The following is a 13,685-nucleotide window of genomic DNA, read 5'->3' as shown; positions in this document are numbered from 1 at the left end:
TGAATAATAATTGCATAATTATACATATATCAAAACTTTATGCTGTATATCATAAATAAATACAACTTTTCACTTAATAAAGATGGAGAGGATATTTGAGTAGGTGAGAAACCAGGATGCTACAGGAAGTGTTACAAATCGTAAGATTTCCATAGTAGGAAATAGTTCAAAGAGCTAAGCTATGTTCTTTAAGTTTTAAAAAATTTGTTTTTATGTGATGTTTTACCCTAAGTGGTCTCAATTGTTTACTAGAAGTTATTTTACATACACTATTCTTGGTTCTTCATTTCTTGGGTAAGCTTAAGGACAAGGGCAAATGACTCATATTTTTCATGCCTAGTTAGAAATAAAGGAAGAGTCACAGATGCAGAAAGAAGATAAAGTCAGCAGAATCAATGCAATTGCAAGTCACACTAGAAATTGGAGGGAAGTTCCGAGATGCATTTTTATTTTTATAATTTAGGAAATAGTGTGTGAATCAATCACATCCAAATCTCACAGGCCTCAAAAGCTACAGCTGACATTCCAGTTATAGAGAAAACTCAGGCATTGCAAGTACGTTACATTATACTGAATTCTCCTTTAGTCATTTTTCCACATCATTTGACTATGACTGTCAGTTTAAATTGCTCTAGGTATAACGCAATTATTTCAGATGAAGATGGTTGACAATAATATATAGAACAAAATGATAACTTCTATAAAATATATTTATTTGAAACCATATATTGATATTCCTAATATACTTATTAACTATAAATATTCAAATTAGAACAAACTTAAAAATAAAAATAAACTAACATTTTCCATATAACAGCTTTTATCATAAAAATTTTCCAGTATATTTAAACATAATTCTTTTATACACCCATTGACTTCAAGTCATTTTCAGAGCCTCTCTATTTGCCTCAAATGTTCTCCATAGCTCTTTAGGTAATGCAGTTGCTCCAAGCACTTACCTCACCTAAGTATACCTAGACGGTGATGACCATTTCTTTATAAGCTACATAGGTCAGCTTTACCAGCTCCTTTCACCTCCAATATCCTTCTCACTGCCTTGTAAAAAAGAGGGATCTTGGACGCCGACTTCTGCTACACTGCTTCAACATCTCTCTTGCTACAATTTATAAAACTTATTGTCTTACTATTGATATTGGATATCAAAGAATATGGACCAAAATTCCTCTCAAAATTTACATCCAACAAAAAATAAGTAGTGTTGGAGGAAAGGATTTGAAGTATTTTGCTGTGTATTCAACTAAACTAAAGATAGAAGACAAAAGTATTCTGCCTAAACAGCAAAAAATTAAAAGACATATTCTAGATATTTTAAAATTGAGAGTATCATCTTTTCATAGGAATTATAACTTCACTTTTATCAATATTTACAACAAATTTCATGCCTTATTTTTAATCAGGAAAAGTCTTTCTTGTATTCATTAGGTTTGTGCCATGGAAAAACATCACTATAGATGTTTTATCTTGATTTTACACAGCTGTTTTCTCCAAAAGTGAATGGTATTTAAGCTGAATGTGTTTTATTCCTACCTGTTACCAGGATCTCCACGACTTTGTTAGAGTACATGCTCAGCAAGTGCTAACAGAGTGAGTGAATAAAAGAATGGTTGATAAATGAACAGATGGATGAATCATTGTGAGGAAAGACTCCATTATATTGTTAATATCACACAAACACAGGCTCACTCCCACCCCCTTAGTCTCTTCACTACCCCTCTTACATCTTTGTTTCTGAGGGTGTAGATTAGAGGGTTAAGACTAGGTGTAACAACAGTATAAAAGAGAGCAATGAACTTGCCTTGATCTTGAGAATTCCCTGATGGTGGCTGGAGATACATGCACATGGCCGGAATGAAAAAGAGAGATACAACCATATGATGAGCTCCACATGTTCCAAATACTTTCTGAAGCCCAGTGGTTGACTGCATCCTCAGTACAGCCTGGGCAATAGCACCATAGGAAGTGAAAATGAGGGTGAGAAGTAGCAGAACAAAAATGGAGCTTGTGATCATGAGGGTCAGTTTATTTTCACGGGTATTGACAAATGATAATCATAAAAGTGCCGGAACTTCACAGAAAAAGTGATCTATTTGGCGGTGTCCACACAGAGGTACCCAGAAGGTGAAGGAGGAATGAAGTGCTGGGTTTGTAAAACCACTTACCCAAGAAGCCACAGCCAACAAGTGGCAGAAACGAGAGTGCATGAGGACAGTGTAATGCAAAGGTCTACACACAGCTGCATAACGGTCATAGGACATCGCCACCAGTAGGAAACACTCTGTGGTTCCCAGTGTGAGAACAAAGTAAAGTTGAACCATGCAACCAGCATAAGAAATGGTCTTTCCCACACCCCAGAGACTGACCAGCAACTGAGGGATAGAGCTGGTGGTGTAGCAGAGATCCAGAAATGAGAGATTTGAAAGGAAGAAATACAAGGGAGTATGGAGATGGGAGTCCAGGTATGTCAGGATGATGATGAACAGGTTTCCTATCAGTGTCATCAAGCAGAAGATCAAAATAACCACAAAGAGAACTACTTCCAGATAAGGCCAATTAGAAAATCCAACTAAAATAAAGTACCCCTCAGAGCTAGCATTGACTTTTCCATCATCATTCATTTCCTATTACCTGAGAGAAAAAAAAAATCAGGTAAACTCAAAAAGCAGTAAACAAATGCTCCAAAAAACATCAGGATACGTAAAAAAAATAAAATCCAGTTTGAAGGGCTTGCCATCATTTAATTGTAGGACAATTTAACCATTAGTAGTAATGAACTTAACAAAAGAAGAATTATAAAGCTCGTACTGATATAAAAAGTAAGAGTAAATAAATGAATGGTGAAGAAAAAGCCATTCCTAACAGTAGATCCCTAATTAATAAACATAGAAGGGATAATGGTGTTAAGAAAAACATAAATGATTGCAAAACTAGTGGATAAAAATTTGATGGGGAACAGGACATGTACATAGTCTAAAATATCTCCTCACAACTTTCTTGTTAATTTCAAACTGAAAAACAGTGAAGTTTACAGTAGAAAAACCTGGCAGACACCAACATAACCAAGTGATTTTATTGATCTTAAGATCACCTGTATTTGTACAAACCAACATCATGAGACTGCTGAGATGCTGCTCTGAACAGGACATGATGTCACCTCAGTGATATTTATGTTAAAAATACACAGACTAATTCTAATAATGAAGACACATGAGAAAAACTCTAATTGAGAGAAATAGTTTGCCTGTACAATTCAAAAGTATCAAGTTTAAGTAGACAAACAAAGGCTGTGGCACTGGTCCAGATGGAAGGAGACTAGTGAGATGTGATTTCTCAGTGTATCATCTGGGATTTTTTTAAAAAGTGGCTATTAACAAAATTATTGGGACTATTTAAGAAATCTCACTGTGGACTATGGATTAGATAATAATATTGTGCCCATATTAAATTTGCTGATTTGGGTACTGTGCAGGACTTATGTAAAATAACATCCTTCTTCTTAGACAAGAAACATTGAATAAAATATTTGGTGTAAATGTCTTGAATGGGCTAAATGCTCCAATTAAAAGACACAGACTGGCAAATTGGATAAAGGGTCAAGACCCATCAGTGTGCTGTATTCAGGAAACCCATCTCACATGCAGAGACACACATAGGTTCAAGATAAAGGGATGGAGGAAGATCTACCAAGCAAATGGAAAACAAAAAAAGGGAGGGGTTGCAATCCTAGTCTCTGATAAAATAGACTTTAAACCAACAAAGATCAAAAGAGACAAAGAAGGCCATTACATAATGGTAAAGGGATCAATTCAACAAGAAGAGCTAACTATCCTAAATATACATGCACCCAATACAAGAGCACCCAGATTCATACAACAAGTCCTTAGAGACCTACAAAGAGGCTTAGACTCCCACACAATAATAATGGGAGACTTTAACACCCCACTGTCAACAATAGACAGATCAACAAGACAGAAAGTTAACAAGGATATCCAGGAATTGAACTCAGCTCTGCACCAAGCAGTGCTAATAGACATCTACAGAACTCTCCACCCCAAATCAACAGAATATACATTCTTCTCAGTACCACATCACACTTATTCCAAAATTGACCACATAGCTGGAAGAAAAGCACTCCTCAGCAAATGTAAAAGAACAGAAATTATAACAAACTGTCTCTCAGACCACAGTGCCATCAAACTACAACTCAGGATTAAGAAACTCACTCAAAACCACTCAACTACATGGAAACTGAACAACCTGCTCCTGAATGACTACTGGTACATAACGAAATGAAGGCAGAAATAAAGATGTTCTTTGAAACCAGCGAGAACAAAGATACAACATACCAGAATCTCTGGGACACATTTAAAGCAGTGTGTAGAGGGAAATTTATAACACTGAATGTCCACAAGAGAAAGCAGGAAAGATCTAAAACTGACACCCTAACATCATAATTAAAAGAACTAGAGAAGTAAGAGCAAACACATTCAAAAGCTAGCAGAAGGCAAGAAATAACTAAGATCAGAGCAGAACTGAAGGAGATAGACACACAAAAAACCCTTCAAAAAATCAATGAATCCAGGAGCTGGTTTTTTGAAAGATCAACAAAATTGATAGACTGCTAGCAAGACTAATAAAGAAGAAAAGAGAGAAGAATCAAATAGACACAACAAAAAATGATAAAGGGGATATCACCACCGATCGCACAGAAACACAAACTACCATCAGAGAATACTATAAACACCTCTGTGCAAATAAACTAGAAAATCTAGAAGAAATGGATAAATTCCTCGACACATACACCCTCCCAAGACTAAACCAGGAAGAAGTTGAATCTCTGAATAGACCAAATAACAGGCTCTGAAATTGAGGCAATAATTAGTAGCTTACCAACCAAAAAAAAGTCCAGGACCAGACGGATTCACAGCCGAATTCTACCAGAGGTACAAGGAGGAGCTGGTACCATTCGTTCTGAAACTACTCCAATCAATAGAAAAAGAGGGAATCCTCCCTAACTCATTTTATGAGGCCAGCATCATCCTGATACCAAAGCCTGGCAGAGACACAACAAAAAAAGAATTTTAGACCAACATCCCTGATGAACCTCGATGCAAAAATCCTCAATAAAATACTGGCAAACCGAATCCAGCAGCACATCAAAAAGCTTATCCACCATGATCAAGTGGGCTTCATCCCTGGGATGCAAGGCTGGTTCAACGTACGCAAATCAATAAACGTAATCCAGCAGAACAAAAGACAAAAACCACATGATTATCTCAATAGATGCAGAAAAGGCCTTTGACAAAATTCAAAAGCCCTTCATGCTAAAAACTCTCAATAAACTAGGTATTGATGGAACGTATCTCAAAATAATAAGAGCTATTTATGACAAAACCACAGCCAATATCATACTGAATGGGCAAAAACTGGAAACATTCCCTTTGATAACTGGCACAAGACAGGGATGCCCTCTCTCACCACTCCTATTCAACATAGTGTTGGAAGTTCTGGCCAGGGCAATCAGGCAGGAGAAAGAAATAAAGGGTATTCAATTAGGAAAAGAGGAAGTCAAATTGTCCCTGTTTGCAGATGACATGATTGTATATCTAGAAAACCCCATCATCTCAGCCCAAAATCTCCTTAAGTTGATAAGCAACTTCAGCAAAGGCTCAGGATACAAAATCAATGTGCGAAAATCACAAACATTCTTATACACCAATAACAGGCAAACAGAGAGCCAAATCATGAGTGAACTCCCATTCACAATTGCTTCAAAGAGAATCAAATACCTAGGAATACAACTTACAAGGGATGTGAAGGACCTCTTCAAGGAGAACTACAAACCACTGCTCAATGAAATAAAAGAGGATACAAACAAATGGAAGAACATTCCATGCTCATGGATAGGAAGAATCAATATCGCGAAAATGGCCATACTGCCCAAGGTAATTTATAGATTCGGTGCGATCCCCATCAAGCTACCAATGACTTTCTTCACAGAATTGGAAAAAACTGCTTTAAAGTTCATATGGAACCAAAAAAGAGCCCGCATTGCCAAGCCAATCCTAACCCAAAAGAACAAAGCTGGAGGCATCACGCTACCTGACTTCAAACTATACTACAAGGCTACAGTAACCAAAACAGCATGGTACTGGTACCAAAACAGAGATATAGAGCAAAGGAACAGAATACAGCCCTCAGAAATAATACCACACATCTACAATTATCTGATCTTTGACAAACCTGAAAAAAACAAGAAATGGGGAAAGGATTCCCTATTTAACAAATGCTGCTGGGAAAACTGGCTAGCTATATGTAGAAAGCCGAAACTGGATCCCTTCCTTACACCTTATACAAAAATTAATTCAAGATGGATTAAAGACTTCAATGTTAGACCTAAAACCATAAAAACCCTAGAACAAAACCTAGGCAATACCATTCAGGACATAGGCATGGGCAAGGACTTCATGTCTAAAACACCAAAAGCAATGGCAACAAAAGCCAAAATTGACAAATGGGATCTAATTAAACTAAAGAGTTTCTGCACAGCAAAAGAAACTACCATCAGAGTGAATAGGCAACCTACAGAATGGGAGAAAATTTTTGCAAGCTACTCATCTGACAAAGGGCTAATATCCAGAATCTACAATGAACTCAAACAAATTTACAAGAAAAGAACAAACAGCCCCATCAAAAAGTGGACGAAGGACATGAACAGACACTTCTCAAAAGAAGACATTTATGCAGCCAAAAAACACATGAAAAGATGCTCACCATCACTGGCCATCAGAGAAATGCAAATCAAAACCACAATGAGATACCACCTCACACCAGTTAGAATGGCAATCATTAAAAAGTCAGGAAACAACAGGTGCTGGACAGGATGTGGAGAAATAGGAACACTTTTACACTGTTGGTGGGACTGTAAACTAGTTCAACCATTGTGGAAGTCAGTGTGGTGATTCCTCAGGGATCTAGAACTAGAAATACCATTTGACCCAGCCATCCCATTACTGGGTATATACCCAAAGGATTATAAATCATGCTGCTAGAAAGACACATGCACACGTATGTTTATTACGGCACTATTCACAACAGCAAAGACTTGGAACCAACCCAAATGTCCAACAATGATAGAGTGGATTAAGAAAATGTGGCACATATACACCATGGAATACTATGCAGCCATAAAAAATGATGAGTTCATGTCCATGTAGGGACATGGATGAAGCTGGAAACCATCATTCTCAGCAAACTATCCCAAGGACAAAAAACCAAACACCGCATGTTCTCACTCATGAGTGGGAATTGAGCAATGAGAACATTTGGACACAGGAAGGGGAACATCACACACCGGGGCCTGTTGTGTGGTGGGGGGAGGGATAGCATGAGGAGATATACCTAATGTAAATGACGAGTTAATGGGTGCAGCACAGCAACATGGCACATGTATACATATGTAATAAACCTGCAGGTTGTGCACATGTACCGTAGAACTTAAAGTATAATAATAATAATTATAATAAAAGAACATTATAGCATTAAGAAAAGGAAGAAACCACAATGTTAATGAACAATAGATAGTATTAACCACGCACACATTTTTAGACTTTTAACATCACAAATTGTAACAAACCAAAATAAGAGGCAATGAACTAAGAAAATACATATGAATTTGTATAACCTTGGAACACAAAAGTTTATACAACTTAATATGAAACTGAAACTCCAATACAGTTATGTACATAGAATGCAGACAAATAATTAACACAAAATAAAAAATTTAAAAGGAATAAAAATGACCTAATAATTAAAAAAAAAAGTACTTGGTGTAAAGGTACGTGGCATCTCCAACTTACTCTCAGCTAGTGCAGAAAAAGAGATAGATGATAGATAGATAGATAGATAGATAGATAGATAGATAGATATAATAGATGATAGAGATATAGATAGATAGATAGATAGATAGATAGATGATATAACAAAGCTTTGGGGGAAAATGTAAACTAATGCTTAATCTGGTTATAGGGTAAATGTCAGTCTTTGTACTACTTTTTTGCAATTCTTCTCTAAGTTTGAAATTTTACCATAATAAAAAGTCACAAAAAATAGAAAACAATTTTTTAATTTTATATTTTATTCATATATTTGCCTTATAGAAGAATAACTATCGAGTTCTTCCCATTCATTTTATGGTGACTTCTAGGTAAATGGTAATTGAAAGAAATTTCTAACCTAGCTAAGGAAGATAATTTCCATAAAACACAAAATTTTTCTTTGTTAATGAATAAGGAACTTTTCTTTTCAGCATTTTCAGGTTATTTTCAAAAATGTGATTATAGAAAACATAACAATTGCAATCCCAATAATTTTACATACGGATGAAATAATATGTTGAAAATATTGAATTTAGTAGTGATTTCAAAATGTTCATGTAAAGTGAAAAAAAAGTTTAGCTTCAATGGGACTACAGGCATGTGCCACCATGCCTAGCTAATTGTTTTGTATTTTTAGTAGAGATGGGGTTTCACCTTGTTAGCCAGGATGGTCTTGGTCTCCTGACCTCATGATCCACCTGACTCGGCCTTCCAAAGTGCTGGGATTACAGGTGTGAGCCACCGTGCTCGGCCTTGTTTTTGATTTTTAAAAAGTGAAAGAAAGATTTATACAATCTGAAGAGTAATCAGAGTTTATTGTTTCTGACTTTTAAAAGCTGTCTTAATGTATTAGCATTACCCCCAGTGACAAATTAAGCCATGCACAGATACTTCATCTTTTATGTTGCCATTTTTCCTGACAGAGAGTGTGTTCTGTTCAGACAGAGTATGTTATATTTATACATGTTACCAAGAATTTCACAAACTGGAAGAGAGTACACATTCAATAAGATTTAGCTAATAAAGAATAAGTTAATGAATAAATGGACAGATGAACGAAAGAGCCATTTTAAAGAGATATTAGTTTACTGTTCAATGTGACAAGTATGTAGACCTACAGGATAAATTAGATAATTTAGTGTCTTTAAAAAGTGTCTTTCAACCAAATACTTATGATATATCCTTTACCATATCTTAAACAATGTTATTCATTATGTTTACCATTTTTCTTTGCTGTGACTATTTTTAGCTTCATTTAAGGTTTATTCAATAACCAAAAACCTTTTTAGCCTAAGTCTTTGCAATATTGCCCTTCTCTTTCTGTATATATCATCAGTTCATAATTTAGCACATTGTTAGAAATATTCCCAACATTTTTGAAATAATCTCCTCATAACTATTCGCATGCACATTTATTTACGTTGAAACCACAGTCCACAATTTTCACAGAAATAAAATATACAATTGTAAAAGAACAAAGTGGCACTAATCAGAAACTTTATCTCAACATAATATTTCAGAACTAAATAATAAAAAGAGCAACAAATGTGAGACTGAACTATTCTGTTTTGTGAGCTGTTAGAACAAAAATAAATCACAAAGAAGCAGGGAAACCACCTTTCAAGATGGCTAAGACCCTAGGAAAAACAATGACAACAGACAACATGATTTCCCTGTCACTTCCCCCACTCCCACCCCAATAGTCTCTTCGCTGCCCCTTTTACATGCTTGTTTCTGAGAGTGTAGATTAGAGGATTAAGACTCGGTGTGACAACAGTATAAAAGAGGGCAATGAACTTGCCCTGATCAGGAGAATTTTCTGATGGTGGCTGGAGATACATGCACATGACTGGAATGAAAAAGAGAGATACAACCATAAGATGGGCTCCACATGTCCTAAACACTTTCTGAAGCCCAGTGGTTGATTGCATGCTCAGTACAGCCCGGGCAATGGCACCATAGGTAGTGAGAATGAGAATGAGAGGTATGAGAACAAAAATGGAGCTCATGACCATGAGGGTCAGCTCATTTGCATGGGTGTCAACACATGATAAACGCAGAAGTGCTGGAACTTCACAGAAGAAGTGATCCACTAGGCGATGTCCACAAAGGGGTACCCAGAAAGTAAAGGAGGAATGAAGTGCTGAGATAGTAAAACCAATTACCCAAGAAGCCGCAACCAACAAGTGGCAGAAACGAGGGTGCATGAGGACAGTGTAATGCAAAGGTCTACACACAGCTACATAACGATCATATGACATCACCACCAGTAGGACACACTCTGTGATTCCCAGTGCAAGAACAAAGTAAAGTTGAACCATGCAACCAGCATACGAGATGGTCTTTTCCGGGCCCCGGAGATTCACCAGCAACTGAGGGATAGAGCTGGTGGTGTAGCAGAGATCCAGAAATGAGAGGTTTGAAAGGAAGAAGTACATTGGTGTGTGGAGATGGGAGTCCACGTATGACAGGATGATGATGAACAGGTTTCCTGTCAGTGTCATCAGGTAGAAGATCAAGATAACCACAAAGAGAACTACTTCCAGCTGAGGCCAATTAGAAAATCCAAGTAGAATAAAGAAGTCTTCCGAACTTGCATTTTTTTTAATCATCATTCATCTTTTTCTTATACCTAAAGAAAGAACCACATAAACTCAAAGTCTGTCCATGCATTGTCAACCGCTCACTTGCAAACAGATTGAAGACAAAAGTATCCCACTTCCAGAGAGTGTGCACCATAATGGTAGTAGAATTTTTATACAGTTCCCTTTATATGCTTCATTGAGATATTTATCCAGCTACAGATACAAGCAATAGCTTCTCAAGTTACTGAGTTCTTTATATACATCCCTGAATTAACATTTGGATTAATGAAGACTAAGATAGTCCATAATCAGGAACACAATATTTATGAAAAATGATTTTTTACTTTAAAAAGTCAAATTATTTTTATATTTTCAGGCTATTTCCAATTTTGCAATTACAGAGAAAGGAATAACAGCAGTCTTACTGATCTTACTTATAGATAGGAATTTCCCATATTAAAAAGCAATTAGATAGTCACTTTAAAATATTAACTGAAAAGAAATAATTGAATATGATTATAGAAAGAATCAAATGCTATTTATGCTAGCAGTTTATTTCTAGACAAATAAAATAATGCACAAATCAAAGTTTAAAGAGAATATGCACGCACACACCAACTTATAAAAATTCACAATATACACAAAGCTGATTAATACAGCAAAATAGAGTGATCGGTGATAGAATGCTTCCAAAGGTAAATGAGACTATATTACTGGAAGACATAAAGATTACAGAGTCTAACAAAAACATAGGTTGGTAAGAGAGAAATGGAGAGTGTTTGGATGCACAACAGTGAAGAGAGGTCTGAATGTGGTATGCGAAGTTGAAAGAATGTATAACAAGTTTGTTAGACAAGGACAAGAAGACTTAAACATGGTTTCTACAAAACTGTATATGCTTTAGGCCAATAACTGAACTATACTTTAAATTCTGAGTCACAATTTATAATTTGTATTTTCTGGGTTTTCCACAATTTTTAATGGAGCTTCTGAACAGACATTAACTAATATTAGTAGAAAGATACGTGAACATTGTATAAAATCCAGAAAATTCACCTTGTAGTTATTTTTTTAAAATGAAGAAATTCAAATATGCTTTGATAGCTTGATTTTCAGTTGCTTATTTTCTCTTGCACATTACCAATCTTGCATGAGAAAGATAAACACTCTTTTATGATATAGTTTTTGCAATAAAATACAGGAACCCAGCATTTCAATATTCCTACATAGTTTTGCCATCCCCCTTCTGCTCCCCTCCTGCCACAGCCAACTCTTCCTCTTATACTCTCTGATAAATTTGGCAAAAGAGGCCAGGCGTGGTGGCTCATGCCTGTAATCTCAGCATTTTGGGAGGCCGAGGCAGGTGGAACACCTGAGGTCAGGAGTTTGAGACCAGCCTGACCAACGTGGTGAAACACCATCTCTACTAAAAAATACAAAAATTAGCCAGGCAGGCATGGTAGTGGGCACCTGTAATACCAGCTACTCTGGAGGCTGAGGCAGGAGAATCGCTTGAACCCAGGAGGTGGAGGTTGCAGTGAGCTGAGATCATGCCATTGCCCTCCAGCCTGGGTGACAGAGCAAGACTCTGTCTCAAAAAACTAATATCTACACCCGACTCACCTTCAGTGTTTTGAAAAACTTTTAATAACTCAAGTATTGTAATCTTGACTCTTGAAAAAGATGTAAGGAGTTGCCTAACTGGTTGAGTTACAGCTGGAGAGCTAGGAACATTGAACTTGGGCCAAATCTGTGCAAATGCTCCAGACTGGTACAAAGATACTGTACATTTTTCCATATTGTTGGTAATGGAATGAGCATTAACCTTTTGAGAAATCATGGGAAAATTCCAAGGATTTTTTTAAATCTCCCTAAGATGAAAGGTAATATGCCATAAGATACTTGAACTCAAATGCTGTGGATACTTTTGCTGATGCCGACCTAATTTTCTTTCCGAATGCAGCTGCCTGAGTTCCTTATTACAGTAATTAAAAGGTGGAATCTGATAACTATCTGTTATATGACCCATCTTTCAGCATTCCTCCGGAGTTGATAAAAGGGATAGGAAATAAGGGACAAAAAAACCCCCAGAACTCATGTAGAGAAAAGTCTCAGCTTCAATTTTCTTCTTGGTGGAAAAGAGGGAAATGAAGACCCTATCAAATGTAGCTTTTATGAGTTGTAGAATAAAATATCTTCTCTCTTTTTTTAAATCAAATACTATAGGGAAAATGGATGGCTGAGTGTCTCTTCCTTCCCCAATTATTATTAAGAGACATTATGCCAATTTGTGTCACATCCATTCCTTTATACTATATCTGGTTTGTTTTCTTAATTTTTCATTGACTAGTAATAATTGTATATATTTATGGAGTACACTGTAATGTTTTGATGTATATATACATTATAGAATGATTATATTAAGCTAGTTAACATATCCATCACCCCACAACCATCATATTTTTGTAGTAAGAACATTTAAAATCTACACTTTCTGCAATTTTGAAATATGGAAGCTGTCTACCCCTTAAGAAGTGCACCAACTTCTTTCAGTACTGACCTTCCTGTGTTTGTCCCTGTTCCCTGTCACTCTCTACCTGGCCTACAACCTCATCAGGTATAAACTGATGAAGGGGCTCTCTGGTTGCCATACAACCTAAAAACATCAACCTAATTGCCTTCTTATAACATTTTTGCCAATGTTTTAAATCTAACTATGAAGAACAGAGTCTGGAAATAACTGTGATTGTCATTGCTACAGAAAAGAGAGCCTGAGTTTGTCCAAAAGATCTGCTTTTTAGCAGAATGTGGGAATACTTTAGGGCATTCAAGGTATCACGGGATGGACCCTTTATCCCAGAGCAAATGTAATCTTTATGGAAACAAAAAGAATAACGGGATACTCTTTCATTGACTGCAGCCTTTGGGAGTATAAATCCCAAAGCTGCAATTAATGCCCTTCAAGGAGTTGTCCTGGTATGATGTTCTCAGTACAAAACTCTTCACAGAAATATCTTCAGCATGATGTTATACTCTTACTGAGATGACAGTGAATTTGTCACCAACAAACATGGGAAAAGATGCTGTGAGTAACATTTACAATGAAAGGAAGAGGTTTTACTGAGCCGTCCGATTTTTTTTTTCAGTTTCCCGTGGGGCTAAGGCTCAAATGTACAAGACAACTGGAAAAAAAGGAGAGATTTGA

General features: G+C 36.4%; 1 protein-coding gene and 1 pseudogene across 1 annotated transcript; both read right to left on the bottom strand.

The window, feature by feature from the left end:
- On the bottom strand, positions 1,704–2,636 carry OR2J4P (olfactory receptor family 2 subfamily J member 4 pseudogene; annotated as a pseudogene).
- On the bottom strand, positions 8,335–13,239 carry OR2J2 (olfactory receptor family 2 subfamily J member 2). The gene is made up of 2 exons (NM_030905.3): positions 13,041–13,239; positions 8,335–10,527 (listed from the first exon to the last, which is right to left on the bottom strand). The coding sequence occupies exon 2, from the start codon at positions 10,508–10,510 to the stop codon at positions 9,572–9,574; it is 939 nt and encodes a 312-aa protein (NP_112167.2). The 5' UTR covers positions 10,511–10,527; positions 13,041–13,239; the 3' UTR covers positions 8,335–9,571.
- Between the last annotated feature and the right edge of the window lie 446 nt (positions 13,240–13,685).

This window comes from Homo sapiens, chromosome 6 (assembly GCF_000001405.40).
Source record: "Homo sapiens chromosome 6, GRCh38.p14 Primary Assembly".
In the NCBI taxonomy this organism is placed as follows: domain Eukaryota; kingdom Metazoa; phylum Chordata; class Mammalia; order Primates; family Hominidae; genus Homo; species Homo sapiens.
The sequence above is the reverse complement of the archived record's forward strand: the minus strand, read 5'-3'. Positions and strand labels throughout refer to the sequence as shown.

Excerpts from the sequence above, each read along its gene's own strand:
- OR2J2 (NM_030905.3), bottom strand. The coding sequence starts at position 10,510 with ATGATGATTAAAAAAAATGCAAGTTCGGAAGACTTCTTTATTCTACTT.